General features: G+C 55.6%; 1 protein-coding gene across 5 annotated transcripts in view, besides 3 other annotated features; it reads right to left on the bottom strand.

Annotated features, from left to right (window-relative positions):
* The window catches only part of MGRN1 (mahogunin ring finger 1), a 66,147-nt gene that overhangs the window by 21,559 nt on the left and 27,405 nt on the right, over positions 1-17,183 (bottom strand). For all 5 annotated transcript variants that reach the window (NR_102267.2, NM_001142290.3, NM_015246.4 and 2 more), the window contains exons 4-8: positions 16,590-16,736; positions 12,051-12,168; positions 4,639-4,705; positions 4,263-4,312; positions 1,102-1,149 (exon numbers count right to left, since the gene is read on the bottom strand). Coding sequence is in view for 4 of the 5 variants with exons in the window: in NM_001142290.3 (NP_001135762.1) it covers positions 1,102-1,149; positions 4,263-4,312; positions 4,639-4,705; positions 12,051-12,168; positions 16,590-16,736 (430 nt within the window). In the remaining variant the exon portion in view is untranslated. The remainder of the gene's footprint in view (positions 1-1,101; positions 1,150-4,262; positions 4,313-4,638; positions 4,706-12,050; positions 12,169-16,589; positions 16,737-17,183) is intronic.
* Positions 8,512-8,806: a silencer, noted in NCBI's record as "tiled region #2432; HepG2 Repressive DNase matched - State 5:Enh, and K562 Repressive non-DNase unmatched - State 18:Pol2". NCBI's record gives its function as "represses a minimal TATA promoter and a strong SV40 promoter by Sharpr-MPRA in HepG2 and K562 cells {active_cell/tissue: HepG2 | K562}" and the evidence as "EXISTENCE:reporter gene assay evidence [ECO:0000049][PMID:27701403]".
* Positions 14,267-14,766: an enhancer, noted in NCBI's record as "H3K4me1 hESC enhancer chr16:4704649-4705148 (GRCh37/hg19 assembly coordinates)". NCBI's record gives its function as "activates a minimal SCP1, AML or CMV promoter by ChIP-STARR-seq in naive and primed H9 embryonic stem cells {active_cell/tissue: H9 hESC(naive and primed)}" and the evidence as "EXISTENCE:reporter gene assay evidence [ECO:0000049][PMID:30033119]".
* Positions 14,767-15,268: an enhancer, noted in NCBI's record as "H3K4me1 hESC enhancer chr16:4704147-4704648 (GRCh37/hg19 assembly coordinates)". NCBI's record gives its function as "activates a minimal SCP1, AML or CMV promoter by ChIP-STARR-seq in primed H9 embryonic stem cells {active_cell/tissue: H9 hESC(primed)}" and the evidence as "EXISTENCE:reporter gene assay evidence [ECO:0000049][PMID:30033119]".

The raw sequence follows: 17,183 nt of genomic DNA, 5'->3' as shown, positions 1-17,183 counted from the left end.
CACCCAGGCTGGAGTGCAGTGGCATGATCTCGGCTCACTGCAACCTCCACCTCCTGGGTTCAAGCCATTCTCCTACCTCATCCTCCTGAGTTGCTGAGATTACAGGCATGTGTTATTATACCCGGTTAATTTTTTTATTTTTAGTAGAGACGGGGTCTCACCATGTTGGCCAAGCTGATATCAAACTCCTGGGCTCAAGTGATCTGCCCACCTCGGCCTCCCGAAGTGCTGGGATTACAGGCGTTAGCCACTGCGCCCAGCCCCTGCACAGTTATTTCAAAGGCAGCAGCAAGGGTAGCCTAGGAAGACCAGTGCATGAAGACTACTGAAGAGTGTGTGTGTGTGTCTATATATAAGTGTGTGTGAGTATATGTGTGTCTGTACATATGTGTATGTGTGTGTGTCTATGTGAGTGTATGCGTCTTTGTATATGTGCGTGAGTGATTGTATGAGTGTGTCTATGTATATGTGTGCAAGTGATTGTGTGTATGTATGTCTGTATATGTGTGCGAGTGAATGTGTGTCTATGTATATGTGTATGAGTATACATGTGAGTTTATGTGTGTGAGTATATGTGTGGGTATGTGTATGAGTGTGTGTCTGTATACGTGTGTGTATGTGTATATGTGTATGAATGTCTATGTGTGTGTGAATGGGTATATGTGTGTGTATCAGTATGTGTCTATGTATATGTGAGTGAGTGTGAGTGTATGTGTGTATGTGTACGAGTGTGTCTATGTATATGTGTGTGACTGAGTATATGAGTGTGTCTGAGTGTGTGCATCTGAATGACTGCATGTGAGTGTGAGTGTATGTGTGTATGAGTGTCGTGTCTGTATGAGTGTGTGCGAGTAGGAGTGTGTTTATGTGTGTATGTGTGTGTCTGTGTGTTTATGTGTCTATATATGTGTGAATGTGAGTGTCTGATGGTATGTATGTGTGTCCGTATATATGTGCAAGTGAATGTGTATGAGTGTGTATGAGCGTGTATGAGTATATGTGCGTGTGTATGAGTGTGTGTCTATGTATGAGTATGCGTGTGAGTGATTGTATATGTGTGTCTTTTAATTCAAGCACGTCATATTTCCTCTGATGACTTACAATTTGCTTCTGCTTTAAAGGCTTCACAGAGAAGCTGCCGTCCATGTGCTGCAGGGGAGAAAGACAAAGAGGTTAAGGTGGTCAAGCTGGCGCCTCTGAGCACCCCTGCGTGGCCGCCTGGGTTGGCCACCCTGCCCCAGCCAATCCATGCCCACAGCTGGAAAAAGAAAAAAGAAAAAAAAAAAAAAGGGTGGGGCCACTTGACAGCGAAAGAGCCGGGATTTCTGAAAACACGGCCTCAGGCCTGGCTGTGCAACTATCTGAGGCCTCCAGAACACACAGCCCGGGGACCCTCTGCTGACCCACAGAACCCAACTCTCCTCGGTTGGTCTCAAGCACACTCAAGCTGAATGCCAATCAGCCAAGTTCAGATGATGGACAAGGGCCTCCTGCACACCGAGAAGTATCACCTGGCAGCAAGAATCAAGACAGACAAAACAGCTTCCTGCTCTCCCAGGCCCGGCTGAGTTAGAAAGACAGAGCGGGAGCACGCACAGTGGTGCACACACAGGGAACCGCAAAGCTCTAAAAACGCAGGAACGAAATAGAACAAGCACACCCGGCGGTATCCAGGGAAACACACCACCGCTCAGAGTTCAACAAGGTTAATTACGGCTTGAGATCGGAGACCTCGCAACAACACTCATTATCCCTTCTCAGTCAACCACCATCAGCACTCAGAATTTTCCAGTGAGGCTGGTGGGTTCTAACAGAAATTTCCAGAATGTTGGACTCCAAAAATAAAGCAGTTTCCCACTGGGTTCTGTACTTCAAGCACAGAATAGACCATTTTGCCAGAGATGTCCCATCTGCCTCTGCCAGAGGATGCAGATGTGTCAATAGTCACCGTGGCTTCTGACGAGTCCGGGCCGGGGAGAGCAGCTGGGGAGCCCAGTACTAAAAAGGCAGAAGGCTGCCCTCTGCCCAGGGCACTTGTGTCACCACAGTCTGTGGTCCTGGACCCGGGAGAGAACAGACCCAGCCTCGCCACAGGACACACAGAGGAGAGGGTCCTCTACCCAGCTAACAGAACCCCCGACCCTGGGGTGCTCTAGAAAGACCCAGATCACAGGTAAGAGCTGGACTCTGCACTTAGAGCTCTCAGGGGCTGCGGCTGCACATGGGGCTGGAGGTGGGTGGAGAGCCTGGGCTAGGCAGGACCCAGAGGCAGCGTGAAGCCCGCAGCAGGCAGGCTGGGCCTTGTCACACGGGATCCTTTCCCCCTCCGACTCCTAGGCAGCAGGATGGTGCCACGCAGACCTGCAACGGCAGGGTGCTGATGAACGTCAGTGCACACTGGGGGCGGGGCCACCGAGGCACCAAGGCACTATCAAACAAGCGTGCGTCCCACCACCTCCGCCAGGTTCTCAGCAGAAACCCATGCCAGGTGGGCAGCAACCCCTCGTCCATCCTGCCAGTGTTCTGAGTGTCTGCTCTGTGCCAGACATCAAACTCAGCTCTGGGGATGCCAAGACACCCAAGAGGACAGTGCTGCCCTCGTGAACATCAAGTGGGAACAACAGATGTTTGTCCTGAGTGGTGTCAGGAAAAGGCTCCTGTAGGAAGCAGGGCCTGCCCAGCCTGCAGGGTCAGAGTGCCGCAGGCAGGTGGCGGAAGGAGCAGCAGGACTGGGGGTCTGTGACATGTGCCAGGTGACACCCAAGGACACTGAGCCTGGTAGGAAAAAGCTACAGCCCGAGGAGGTAACAACATTGCTGATCTCTGCACACCCCAGGGCGAAGGCAGTCTACCGCAGACAGCCCTCCTTGTGGGAGCCCCAGCCCGTGGCATGGCAGCAGGCTCTACAGAATTCTACAGGGCTGGCCTCAGTCTACAATGTTCTCCCTCAACACACTCCAAGTACCCTTTGAAAAGCCTCTTGGCCAGGTACGGTGGCTCACGCTTGTAATCCCAGCACTTTGGAAGGCCAAGGTGGGAGGATCACTTGAGGCCAGGAGTTTGAGACCAGCCTGGGCAACATAGCGAGACCTCTTCTCTACAAAAAAATTTTTTTAAGTTAGACAGACGTGGTGGTGCATGCCTATAGTCCCAGCTACTCGGGAGGCTGAAGTGGGAGGATCTCCTTAAGCCCAGGAGGTCAAGGCTGCAGCGAGCTGAGATCACACCACAGCCCTCTAGCCTGGGCAACAGAGCGAGACCCTGTTTAAAAAAAAGAAAAGAGATGGCCAGGTGTGGTGGCTCACACCTGTAATCCAAGCACTTTGGGAGGCCGAGGCAGGTGGATCAAGAGGCAGGAGATCGAGACCATCCTGGCTAGCACAGTGAAACCCTGTCTCTACTGAAAATACAAAAAAATTAGCTGGGCATGGTGGCGGGCATCTGTAGTACCAGCTGCTTGGGAGGCTGAGGGAGGAGAATGGCATGAACCCGGGAGGCGTAGGCTGCAGTGAGACAAGATCATGCCACTGCACTCCAGCCTGGGCAAAAGAGCGAGACTCTGTCTCAAAAAAAAAAAATTGGCCAGGCATGGTGGCATGGGCCTGTAATCCCAGGTACTTGGAGGCTGAGGCAGGAGAATCGCTTGAACCTGGGAGGCAGAGGTTGCAGTGAACACAGATCCCACCACTGCACTCCAGCCTGGATGACAGGGTGAGACTCCGCCTCAAAAAAAAAAAAAAAAAAAAGGCCGGGCACGTGGCTCACGCCTGTACTCCCAACACTCTGGGAGGCCGTGGCAGGTGGATCACTTGAGGTCAGGAGTTTGAGACCAGTCTGGCCAACATGATGAAACGCTGTTTCTACTAAACATACAAAAATTAGCCAGGCGTGGTAGTGCACACCTGTACTCCCAGGTACTCGGGAGGTTGAGGTGGGAGAATCGCTTGAACCCAGGAGGCAGAGGTTGCAGTGAGCCGAGAGAGATCACGCCACTGAACTCCAGCCTGGGTGACAGAGTGAGCCCGGCTCAGGAAAGAAAAAAAAAAAAAAAGGAAATGCTAAGCCTCCTGACAGCGGCACTCGGCCTCAGGACCAGAATGCTAGAAAGCAGGAAGCCACAGACACGCCCCAACCTGCCCCGGGGCCCTTGACACTCAGCCACCCCACCAAGCCCCAGCCCCTGCTCAGGCTTCTCGTCTCAAAAGGCCACCCCCTGCCCAGCTCCCAGGTCCCCGGGAAAGTGATGGCCAGATGGCACTTACCTTTTCAAAGGCAGCCAAGAGCACGTGGGCGTGGCCAGTCACTTCCACCACTGCTGGGGAGAGAGGGGCAGAGTAGTCAGAGTCGGGGCCTGCCCCACCCAGGCATCTCACCTCCCCGACCCTGGTAGGCCTGCGGCACCGAGGGCTCAGCCTGCACAGAGTCCATAGAGTCCTGAGCCTGTTCTGGGACCTGCCCTCCTGCACTTTCCACCTCCTCACCTGCCCGGGACTCCAAGCTGCTCACACCCTGCCCTGTGGGAAGCCCAAGGCCCTATGCCTGGCCTGCTTCATCACTGCTGCAAGCACTCCTCCCTCAAGACGTGCTTCCTCCCTGCACGGCCTGCACGCCCAGGAGGACGGAAGAGGACGCACTCACCATCTCCTTCGTCCACCACAGCCTGGATGACTACTGGAAACACGCCCCGGTCCAGGTCAAAGTTCAGCTGAGGAGAGAGTTGCCAAGAATGGTCAGGACCCACACAGCCAAGCCTGGAAGCCTGGAGTCGGTCAACAAATGAGCTGGACAAAGCAGGCAGGAGCAGGAGGCAGCAGCAGAGCTCAGAGGACACGCCTCGAGATGGCAGGGAAGGCGGATGCCAGGCTTGGCACCTTTTTTATGTGTGTGTTAAAACAGATACAACACAAAATCTGCCATTTTAACTACGTTTCAACAGCGTTGAGTAAAGTACATCTATAATGTCATGCAACCGCCACCATCCATTTCCAGAACTTTTCATCACCCCAAACGGAAACCCCACACGTAGCCATCAGCACCCACACACTCCCCATCCCCTCCTCCAGCCCCCGGCAGCCACCATGTGCTTCCTGTCTCCAGGGATTTGCCATTTTTGGACCTGTCATTTACATGGAATTGCACAACAGGTGACCTTCTGTGTCTAGGTATGTTTCCAAAGTTCACCCACGGTGCAGCACGCATCGGTGCTGCTTTCCTTTTTCTGGCCAAATAACAGGCACTGTGTGGATATCCACACGCTGTGCACGCGTTCCTTTGCGACGGACACCGGGCTGGGCCTGTGTCCTGGCTACGGTGAGCAGCGCTGCACTGGACACCGGTGCGCAAGTGTCTGCCTGAACCGCGTTTTCAGTTCTCCCGGGTGCGTGCCTCTGAGGGGAAGTGCTGGTCACTGGGCAACTCCCTGTAACTTTCTGAAGAAGGCACCGGACTTGGCCCCAGCAAACACAAAAGGCAAGCAAGGGAGACCACGAGGCTGGCTTGAGTCCAAAGAGAAGCTTCCTCTTGCGTTCATCCCACCCCCTGCTGTGCACAGGCTGAAGGCCACCCTCTTCCCCACGGCCCCCAGGGCCCCAGCAGTCAGCCCAGCACAGTGCCATCCTCTCAGACCCCTGCTCCCCAGCACTGCTCTGTGGGTCTCGCCCTACTCTCTACAGGCCACGTCCTTCTCTGGGCCTCAGGAAGCACTTCGCCCCTGGGCTTCTATTGCTCATACCCTGGCAACCAGGAAAGCCACCGGCCACCATCAGGCTCCCTGACTCCCTCCATAGAGGGCAGGGACCCTGCCTCTCCAGTCACCATGACATCCTCGGTGTCTGGCACAGAACAGCAATGGACACATGCATCTGTTTATTCTGGGAAGAAAAAGAATCATTTATTTCTCAATGAAGATTTACTGAAAGAACAGATGCTGGCTGTGCCACTGTGAGCATTCTAAAAGCCAGCGAATCATTCGCTTAACACGAGTGAGCTGCAGGAGATGGTAATTATAACACAATAAAGGTGTAAAAAAAAAAAAAAAAAAAAAAAAAACAAGGCCAGGTGCCGTGGCTCCCGCCTGTAATCCCAGCACTTTGGGAGGCCTAGGTGGCGGATCACCTGAGGTCAGCAGTTTGAGACCAGCCTGGCCAATATGGTGAAACCCTGTCTCTACTAAAAATACAAAAATTAGCCAAGCATGGTGACGCATGCCTGTAATCCCAGCTACTCGGGAGGCTGAGGTAGGAGAATCACTTGAAATCGGGAGGCGGAGATTGCAGTGAGCCGAGATCACACCACTGCACTCCAGCCTGGGCGACACAGTGAGACTCCGTCTCAAAAACAAAAACAAAATATGGATGAAACATCAAATAGGAAAGGCCTGGCAGGCCCAGCCCAGGCAAGGGCAGTTGGGTGAGGGGAGAGCCTCCTGCCTCCCAAGACCGACCACAGGCCTCACTGACTAAGACCCATGAGGAAGGGACAAGCCCCTCCATGTCTGCAGCAACCACCCCCACGGATGTCCAGGTGGGACTACTCCTGGCCCAGCACAAGGGAACCCTGAGCCCGCAGCCAAGCACCCGCCCCTGAACAGCAATGCTCAGAACCAACAGACACATAGGATGTCTCCTCTCCCCTGCTGTCCCCCCGTGAAGTGGGCAGCGGAAGCAGGGCAGGGGCACACGTCCCCACCCCAGTGACCAGGGTGGCTTTCATCTCAGGCCCTCCTCCCTCCGAGCCTCGGCTTCTTTCCTTGTAAAATGGGGTCAATACCACGCTACCGCATGGGTTTCAAGGATAAAGCGCAAATGAAGTCCTCTCGACAGACCCAGCACAGAGACACTGCCTGTGGTGGCTGCTACAGTTGTTGTGAGTATTACTATTATGATTTTTTTTTTTTTTTGAGACAGAGTCTTGATCTGTTACCCAGGATGGAGTGCAGTGGCAGGATGTCGGCTCGCTGCAACCTCCACCCCCTGGGTTCAAGCAATTCTCCTGCCTCAGCCTCCCAAGTAACTGGGATTATAGGCGCCCGCCACCACGCCCAGCTAAATTTTTGTATTTTTAGTAGAGACGGGGTTTCACCATGTTGGCCAAGCTGGTCTCGAACTCCTGACCGCCAGTGATCCGACTAACTCAGCCTCCAAAAATGCTGGGATTACAGGTGTCAGCCACCGCGCCCGGCCAAATATTACTATTATTTAAGGAACCGAGGGAAATGTTTCTTCCTAACATTTGTCAACACAGCGAATTTCCTACCAAAAATACAGACGAGAAGAAAGGAGTTACAGCGGACCACAGACAGCAGTCAGGAGAAGGGGACGGGGACAAACATCAGTGTCAAGAAAGTACCCGACTGCGAACCAGGGAGGCTATGTGGACATGGACACACGGCAAAGGCTGGCAGCACCCTGGCGTTCCCAGGCATGTCCCCACCCAGCAGGGACTCCATACCCACAGGCACCTGGCACACGGCTACCGCAGCTTCCTGCCATCTGGAGCTAAGAGTTCCATTCAGACCAGAATGAATGGCACACGTAACCCATCCACACAAGAAGCCCTGGGCAGGCAGCCATCTGCTGAACAAACCACAAGCCTGGAGACCAAGTCCACACGGACCTAGGCCCCGCATCTCACGAGGAAGGGTCAGGGGTTCCAGCCACAAGTCCCATGGGATGGACAACAACGCACACATGGACAGAGGTGGACAGAGACACTGATGCTGGGGGCTATGCTGTGAAGGCTGAGAAGTGCCGTGGTCTCTGTTAGTGAGGAAGGGTGGAGCCAGGAGCTGGCAGGGCACTGGCCCAGGGCCAGAGTCAAGGCTGCCGGCATCAAGTCTAGCTCCTCACCCATTCACTACAATTAGAACCCCACCTGAGCCTCAGTTTCCCCATTTGGCAAAATGGAACGGAAGCCGTGCCTAACACAAAGCTCCAAGTGCTGTGGCTGGCAGAACACACAGTCAACACCAGCACCCTGAAGCCCTGTGTGTCCAGGCAACAGGAGCCGACCCAGCCTCCTCCGGGAGAGGGCTGGAGGGTGCAGGAGAAAAGGGTGCGAAAGGTGGCCAAGGCGGCCAATCCTGGGCCACGGCTTTGTGAAAACGTCCACACACATCAGAAAGCTGCAGACTGGTGGGCCTGACGTGGTGGCTCACGCCTATAATCCCAACACTCTGGGAGGCCGAGGTACGAGGATTGCTGGAGCCCGGGAGTTTGAGACCAGCCTACGCAACATAGAGAAACTCTGTCTCTACCAAAAAAAAAAAAAAATCAGCCAGTAGTTGTGGCACCTGTAGTCCCAGCTACTGTGAAAGTTGAGGTGAGAGGATCGCTTAACCCAGGAGTTCGAGGCTGCGGCAAGCTGTGATTGTGCCACTGCACTCCAGCCTGGGAGACAGAGTGAGCCCCTGTCTCAAAAAAAGGGGGAAAAATAAAAGGCTGCAGGGACGTGGGGCACATGTTCACACCCACTGGGACCCAGCTAGGCCTCCAGCTCCCAGCCGTCTGAGGGATACCACAGACACCTGGGCTTGCCAGAGTGAGGGACACTCCCTTCCCCGGTCTGGGGGGCCTGTCAGGGCTGATCATGCTGGGACTGTAGGCCCCTTGTGAGCCTGTTTCCTGCCCACTCCACTGAGTCCACACAGGAGTCATCGTCCCAGGGTTGCCTGGCAACGCTCCCACACTGCTGCCACAAGGGCTGTCATGAAGCCCGGAAATGGGGAGTTCGCGCACCGGCAGCCACTCCTTTAGGTGATGGAGCCAAACGGGGGAGGCAGAGCTTTCTGGAGCGCATCCACCCCCGCGCCCCTGCCCACCCCTTCGCTTCTGCCCAGGCCTGGAATGCATCCGCGCAGCCAGCACCTCAGCACTGGCGTGGGCCGCTCTGTGCTCTGAGGAGCCTCTGAGTGAGCTGTGATTTTTTTTCTCATCACACTGCAGAAACTAGGTGCTGACAGTGCTTTACTGGTGTGGAATAAAAACCAACGGTCTGGGGAGGCGTGCAAGATGGTGGCTATAGCCTTCTCTCCCACTCCCCGGCTGGCAGACGGGTTTACAGTGGGCGGCTCCAGGTAAAGCCCTTTGCATGCTGATCACGGACCCCTCGTGGCCACCCTGCGAGGGACTGCTTCCAGCCCCAGTCTACAGAGGGGCAAACCCAGGCTCACAGAGCTGCAGAACTGGCCTAACACTCTAGAGAGAAAAAGCGGCAGAACGAAAGTGGGCCCCCAGCCCCTCCACACATGTCCTCTCTGCTCCTGGGCAAGGCCAGTGCAGCCATGCTGGGCACCCCTGTGGCCTGTCCTTGCAGCTGCGCTCTTGATGCTAAGCCATGCCTGGCCCAGCATCTGAGCCCCTCAGGTTCTCTTCGGGGAAGCGTCTCCCTCCTACTCCAGGTCTCTGCGGCCTGGCTGCAGGACGGGAGGCCCCCGCCCCAAATGGGGCCACAAAGAGAAGACACACGGCCTCCAAGCATCTCCGGACCCAGCCGGATGGCCACGCGCTGGAGCAGGGCCAGCTGAGGGAGATGGGAGGCTAAGCCACAGAGATCCCCACCCTGATGACACAGGCCCTGGAAGAAATCTCAGGCCACCCAGCCTTCTCTGAATCTACACCAGTAAGTCTCTGGTTTTCTTTTCTTAAACCAGACCAAATGTTTTTCTGTCACTTGCATCCACAAAAGTCCTGACAAGGATAGCACCTTGAAGGCCCCGCAGCAGCAGCTGCCCCTTATGTGCGCCAACTCAGCGTGGCCATCCACAGACGAGCCAGCACTATGCTGCACGCGGGCCCTCCTTCAGCTTCCTCAGCAAACCCTCACCAAAGGCCCCCTGGCGGGTCCAGTGCCAAGTCCGGGACAGAGGTAAGGACAACTGGGGGCATCGTGATTCCAACCCTCTCTGGGCCCTAAACACCGTACCCCTCAGGAAGCTGGCCACAATGACCACTCCCCTACCCCGGCCACCTCACCTGCAAACCCATGGCTCACAGGGCTCGGAGACTGGGGCTCCCCAGAGGGGCTGGGGAGGGACCCCAGGAAACATGAAACAAACAGGAAACACAGACACCTCCCAAACTCCCACTCCCCAGAGCTCAGCACACACGCCACACAGCACCCACAGTCACACGTGAGAGCAGGGTGCAGGGTCCACGCCAGTGATGCCGGGAGAGGACAGAGACTCCACCCACCCGAGGGAGTCTGGGGAGACGTTTATTTTACTTTTATTTTATTTTTATTTTTATTTTTTTTTTACCTTCCTAAGAAATGGAGTCTCGCTATGTGGCTCAGACTGGACTGCAGTGGCTATTCCAAGGTACAATCCCACTACTGATCAGCATGGGAGTTTTGATCTGTTCGGTTTTCACCCCTCCTTAGACAACCTGGTGGTCCCCCACTCCCAGGTAGTCTTACTTTTGAGACAGGGTCTCGCTCTGTCACCCAGGCTGAAGTGCGCTGGCACGATCATGGCTCACTGCAGCCTCCATCTCCCAGGCTCAGGCGATCTTCCCACCTCAGCCTCCTCAGTAGCTGGGACTACAGGCAAATACCACCACATCCAGCTAATTTTTGTATTTTTCATAGAGACAAGGTTTTACTCAGGCTTGTCTCAGACTCCTGGCCTCAAATGATCCTTCCACCTCAGCCTCCCGAAGTGCTGGGATTACAGGCGAGAGCCACCACACCTGGCTTGTTTTATTTTTAATGCAAGGACAAGGGAGGCTTTTTACAGAGAGTGGCTAAACGTCAGGAACACAGCCACAGGACTGGCCCCAGCGTAAGTCAGCTCATGAGGCCTGCTAGCAGGGCATGTGGTCAGTGTCTCCTCCTGGCCTCAGACCTGGGACCCACAAGGTCTACATTGTTTTTTTTTTTTCTGAGACGGAATCTCACTCTGTCGCCCAGGCTGGAGTGCAGTGGCGTGATCTCGGCTCACTGCAAGCTCCACCTCCTGGATTCATGATATTCTCCTGCCTCAGCCTCCCCAGTAGGTGGGACTACAGGCGCCCGCCACCACACCCGGGTAATTTTTTTGTATTTTTAGTAGAGACGGGGTTTCACCGTGTTAGCCAGGATGGTCTTGATCTCCTGACCTCGTGATCCGCCTGCCTCGGCCTCCCAAAGTGCTGGGATTACAGGCATGAGCCACCGCGCCCGGCCACACAAGGTCTGTACTGTTACACAGGAACCCCCTGGACCAGGGTCTTTGCAAGCTGCAGACCAGATGGACGCTGGAAAACAAGGCAAAGGGGGAAGGAGGGAGGACACAGCTTTGACTAAAAGCTGGAGAGGGGCCTAGGAGGAGCAACTAGCAAAGCAGCCACTCAAGCCGCAACCTACAAAAGACCTGGTTAAAAGAGGTCTGCAGCAATGGCCGGGCACGGTGGCTCACACCTGTAATCCCAGCACTTTGGGAGGCCGAGGCCGGCGGATCACAAGGTCAGGAGATCAAGACCATCCTGGCTAACACGGTGAAACCCCGTCTCTACTAAAAATACAAAAAATTAGCCGGGCGTGGTGGCAGGCGCCTGTAGTCCCAGCCACTCGGGAGGCTGAGGCAGAATGCTGTGAACCCAGGAGGCAGAGGTTGTAGTGATCCGAGATCGCGCCACTGCACTGCAGCCTGGGCGACAGAGCGAGACTGTCTCAAAAAAAAAAAAAAAAAAAAAAAAAAAGGATGTCTGCACCAAGATTTTAAACAAAAGTAAGGTTAAAAAGCTTGAAGGAATGCCACCTGGTGTGAACAGACCCTGCATTGCTGCAGCCTGGCAGGGGGTGCCCCATTCTTCACATCTCCCCAAACCCCAGTGTCTGAGCCTCCGAGTGCGGCTGCCTGGTCGGCCTCTGGTCCCCTGGCCCCATCAGCACATGGCCCAGGCCTTGCTCCCGCCCATCCACACGTCCACCTGAGCACAGACTGGGGCGGCCGTTCCCAGGTCTTATGAACCCTGGAGGAAGCCAAACACACAGACCCCACTGTGCTGGCCCCACCCCCAAGGGGAGAGAATTCAGGAGGAGCGAAGGGCAAGGAGCCGCCCAGCCAGCATTACCTCGTCATCCTTCCATTCCGAGAAGTCAATCTTGAAGGAGGGCAGGGAGAACTGCTGGCTCACCCCTCTCTTGTAGTGGACGGTCTCGGACTGTAGCGAGGGGCTCTTGGGGCTGTATCTGCAGGGAGCCAGGAGCAAGCAGTGAGGCTGCGGCAGGAAGAGGGCCCTCCGTGCCCGTCCCTCCCACTCCGACAGCTGGAAGGGCCGCAGACACCTGTCTTTTGGGGACCCTCTCTCATGGGGAACAGCAAACAGCCTACATGGCCACGTGGCCCTCACCCTTCCAGGGCCTTCCACGGCCTCTCTGCTCACCATGCAGCTCTCCCCAGGTCAGGCCTGGCTACAATTCTCCCAGAGCCCACACCTGCCCAATCCCTTTGATACCTCCCCAGTGTAGCTGTGCTTTTCCTTTCCATCGGTGCTAAGTTGGTTTGTTTATTTATTTATTTATTTATTTATTTATTTATTTATTTATTTATTTTTGAGATAAGAGTCTCGCTCTGTCGCCTGGGCTGGAGTGCAGTGTTGTGATCTCAGCTCACTGCAACCTCTGCCTTCTGAGTTCAAGTGATCCTCCTGCCTCAGCTTCCCAAGTAGCTAGGATTACAGGTGTGCGCCACCATGCTAGGCTAATATTTTATTTTTAGTACAGATGGGGTTTCACCATGTTGGCCAAGCTGGTCTCGAACTCCTGACCTCAAGTGATGCACCTGCCTCAGCCTCCCAAAGTGCTGGGATTACAGGCCTGAGTCACTGCACCCAGCTTGAGTTTACTTTTTAAATGAACACAGTACTTAAGTATACACAGTGCAAAATGCATCTTCCCCAACCCTCACGCCTGCTCCCAGAGGCCTGCTGTCCGCCCCAGCAGAGACCCACAGATCACTCCCGGAAGGCGGAGGCACAATGGTGCCCACATGCAGCGCGGGTCTCTCTTCCTCAACGTTCAGACGGGGTAGGCGTCAACACTGCTCTTTCATGCGTCTGCACACATCAGGGGCTGTGTCCTGTGAACCACCACACAGGTCCCGCTTTGGTTTTACTGATTCAGTCAGGGCCCCTGGGGGACACCAGCAGATGGTCACCAACATCTCACTTTTCCCAACACTGCTTCAAGGACCGCCCTTCTGCATGTCTTAGCCACAGGCACGAGTGCATCCCTAAGACAGGTGCCTCAAGCAGTTTCATTTCTGATAAAACTCCATGCAGGAACCCAATTCACAATCCACAGCCCCTCCCCTCCACCCCACCGCCCTGCTTGCCTGTGGCCAGGGCTCCACAGGCTCTCCTGGACAAAGGCACACCAAGCTCAGAAATGGGATGGGGCGTGGGGGGGCCACCACTGTACACACAAAGGCAGAAGAGGCCTGCCATGGCCGCCAGAGCCCAGCATGGTTGGAGGCACTACAGGGGAGGCCCGGGCTCAGCCTCAGTAAAAGGCACAGTTAAGACGCCACCCTCAGGTGGACCCCAGCCTTCTCCTGTGAGATGCGGAGGCCTGGACACACCCCTCTGTCTGAGCCTCAGTTTCCTTGTCAGGAGGCAGGGAGGGTGGCTTGCCCTGCAGCTCAAATGGATGGAGCACTGGCAGGCTGGATGGTGTCCGGGTGCCTGGGCACAGCCTCCAGGTCCTGGAGCCTCCAGGTCCTTTTCTGTGATCCCTGCTGGGAGGGGAAGCTGGCCTTGCACCGCGTCCTGAGAGAGGGGGACAGTGGCACTGGAGCTGTTCCTGCTCTGTGATGCCTGCTGGGAGGGGAAGCAGGCCTCGTACCAGGTCCTGAGAGAGGGGGACAGTGGCACTGGAGCTGTTCCTGCTCTGTGATCCCCGCTGGGAGGGGAAGCAGGCCTCGTACCAGGTCCTGACAGAGGGGGACAGTGGCACTGGAGCTGTTCCTGCTCTGTGATTCCTGCTGGGAGGGGAAGCTGGCCTTGTGCCAGGTCCTGAGAGGGGGGGACTGTGGCATTTCTCTCATCACTAGCCCGCAGGGGTCTAGGAGAGGGTGACACCAGCCAGGGCTGGCAGGGCACCCTCTCTGCTCTCTCTAGCCTTTCTGGTAGCAGCGGGACCCTCTCTTCAAGTGCACTTGAGATGGTCACCCAGCCCCTGACAGCTGGAGCACTGGGGGGCAGCGGATAGACAACTTACACTGGCCTGTGTCCTCAGCCCACACCCTCTCTGTGGCAGCCCCTGGACACCTCGCCACAACCCAGCTCCTCCACCATGTCGGCCAGGCCCGAGGAGGGCACCAGGCCCCGTGGGTGTCAAACACTCAACCCCAAGCAGTGGGGTGCAAGGAGGGGACAGAGGGGCCTGCCCTGGTCACTCCAAATGCTCCTACGCCCAAGAATTCGACGCCTGTCATAGCACACAGGCATGCATTACTAGTGTCATTAAAGAAATATAATCAAGTGCCGGGGCAAGGTAGAGCCTCAAAGAACAAAGTCTAGAAAAAGGAACCTGTTCCTCCCCAAAGTGCTGCTCCACAGGAGGAGCCCTGGCTGCCGGGGAGCCCAAGGCCAGAGCCCAAGGGCGGCCTCACCTGGTGGCAGGTCCCTAAGAACCTCCCCACATAAGTCGTCTCCACCAGCCCCTCAACTCGAGCACTCAGGCTCCTTTCAAGAGCACCTGTCACGCGAGGGGCTGTGCACAGGACACATGGTCCCCTCCTCACACCACCCACCCGAACTTCCAGCTGAGGACACAGAGGCACAAGCAGTCATGTGCCCCCAAGCCACTCAGCGGGGACAGCATTCAAAGCCTAGGCTCTCAACCACACCCTATCCCCAGATGCAAAGCTGACCACTGAGCGGTGTGCTCCAGTGCAGGAAGGCAGGGGGCACGCTCTTGCCTGTCTCTAAAGCCACTTGGGGCACATGTGCCCTTGTAGCCTGGAGGCAGTCCTGCCAGCTCCTGCTGAAGTTGCAGTTTTCAAACTTTCAGGGCCAGAAGGACCCTTATCTCAAATAAAACCTCTGAAAGTACAAATATCTAATTATGACACAATAAAAAATAAATATTTGGTCCCAGCCCCAGTTCCTGACACAGAGTCCTCTAAAACCCTTGTCATTTCCTCAGCAACAGGGGTGCTAGGAGCCTCTTTTGTTCTAATATTTGTTCCTTGACCTTTGCTCCCAACACAGAACTCCAAACCCTTGGAATTTCCCGGGTGGTAGGAGTGTCTTATGTGCCAGTGAGGTGACTCTTGGCTCCTGGAGGTGGCTGGCTGCCAGAAAGACCAAGCCATGATTAGAGACTTGGAAGTGTCGTCTAAGAGCTCCCGAGGAAAAACAAACAAAAACCTGGGCCAGGTGGGCCGGGCATGGGGGCTCACGGCTGTAATCTCAGCACTTTGGGAGGCCGAGGCAGGTGGATCACCTGAGGTCGAGCGATTGAGACCAGCCTGACCAACATGATGAAACCCCGTCTCTACTAAAAATACAAAATTAGCCAGGCATGGTAGCATATGCCTGTAATCCCAGCTACTCGGGAGGCTGAGGCAGGAGAAGCACTTGAACCTAGGAGGCGGAGGTTGCAGTGAGCCAAGATCACACCATTGCACTCCAGCCTGGGCAACAAGAGCGAAACTCTGTCTCAAAAACAAACAAAAACCACTTTGGGAGGCTGAGATGGACAGATCATGAGGTCAAGAGATTGAGACCATCCTGGCCAACATGGCGAAACCCCCATCTCTACTAAAAATACAAAAATTAGCCAAGCGTGGTGGCACGTGCCTGTAGTCCCAGCTACTCAGGAGGCTGAGGCAGGAGAATTGCTTCAACTCGGGAGGCGGAGGTTGCAGTGAGCCAAGATTGTGCCACTGCACGCCAGCCTGGGCAGCAGAGTGAGGCTTCGTCTCAAAACAAAACAAAACAAAAACAAAACAAAAACCTGGAACTGAATTTCAGCCCAGCCCCATCCTCCAGGGAGGGGACAGGGGCTGGAGATGGAGTTAATCATCAATCCTGCCTACGTGATGAAGCCTCCAGAAAAGGCCCTGAAATGGGGTTTTCAGGAGAGCTTCTGGTTTGCTGAATACGAGGAAGGTGGTGCGCCCCACCCCTTCCCCCACACCTCACCCTGTGAACCTCTTCATCTGAATCCTTTACAATAAACCAACAAACACCAGCCAAGTGTTTCCCTGGGTTCTGTGAGCCACACTAGCAACTCATCAAGCCTGAGGAGGGGACTGTGGGAGCCTGATTTATGGCTGGTTGCTGAGAAGTTCAGGTGACAGCGGGGGCTTATGAGTGGCATCTGAAGTGGGGCAGTCTTGTGGGACTGGGCCCTCAAAGTGCAGGGGTTGCATGACCTCCAGGCAGCGTTGGAACTGAAACCAGTCAAAGGACCCCAGCTGGTTCCCGCAGAAAAGTGGGGAGTCCCTGGGGTGGGAGAAACCCCTCACATCGTGGTAAAGTCCTGGGAGTATGGTCAAAGAGCACGGTTTGGTTTTCTCCCTCTGGTTAGTAAGGTGGACAGAAGCCTCCCCCAGGAGTCTGGGGCCCCCAGCCAGGCCGGTGCCAGCCGCCCGCGGGACTCACACTGCCCTGCCGTTCAGGAACTCCTCCGATGCCTGGCAGTAGATGGTGATGGCCACGCGGGCATCGGCGTCGAAGGTGAACTCCAGGCTGTAGAGCACCCGGGGCTTGTCGCCGTCCTCGGTGGGGCTGTCGGCATCGTCTTTGTACCTACCCCAGGCGGTGGAGAGAAAGGCAGCGGGTCAGCGGCCCCATCTGCGGAGGCTGCCTCCTCCCCTGCCAGGCTGAGGGGCCGTGGAGGTGGCTATGTGGACACAGCCCGCTTCTCCAGTAGACATAGGGGCTGTTTCCTATTTGTACATGAAAGCCCAGTGGTCCAGGGCTTGCCTCTCCTTCTTCCTGCCCACAGAAGACGGGGTACGTGCTTTTGGTTCAGAGACAGCCCCAGATGCCTCAAGTCTAGTCGGTTTAAGCAGTTTCTGAACCTGCTGAAATCTGGTGCTGGGTCATTCCTGTCTGTGGGGGGGCCGTCCTGTGCATGGCAGGAAGTCTGCAGCACCCCTGGCACCCACCTGAGATGCCAAGCACCCCACCTGGCTGCCTCCAGACACTGCCCAGGGTCCCTGTGCGGCACAGCTGAGAAGCCCTGGCTAAACG

Source organism: Homo sapiens, chromosome 16, assembly GCF_000001405.40.
Source record: "Homo sapiens chromosome 16, GRCh38.p14 Primary Assembly".
NCBI lineage: Eukaryota > Metazoa > Chordata > Mammalia > Primates > Hominidae > Homo > Homo sapiens.
Note: the sequence above shows the minus strand (reverse complement) of the source record. Positions and strands in the feature narration are given on the sequence as shown.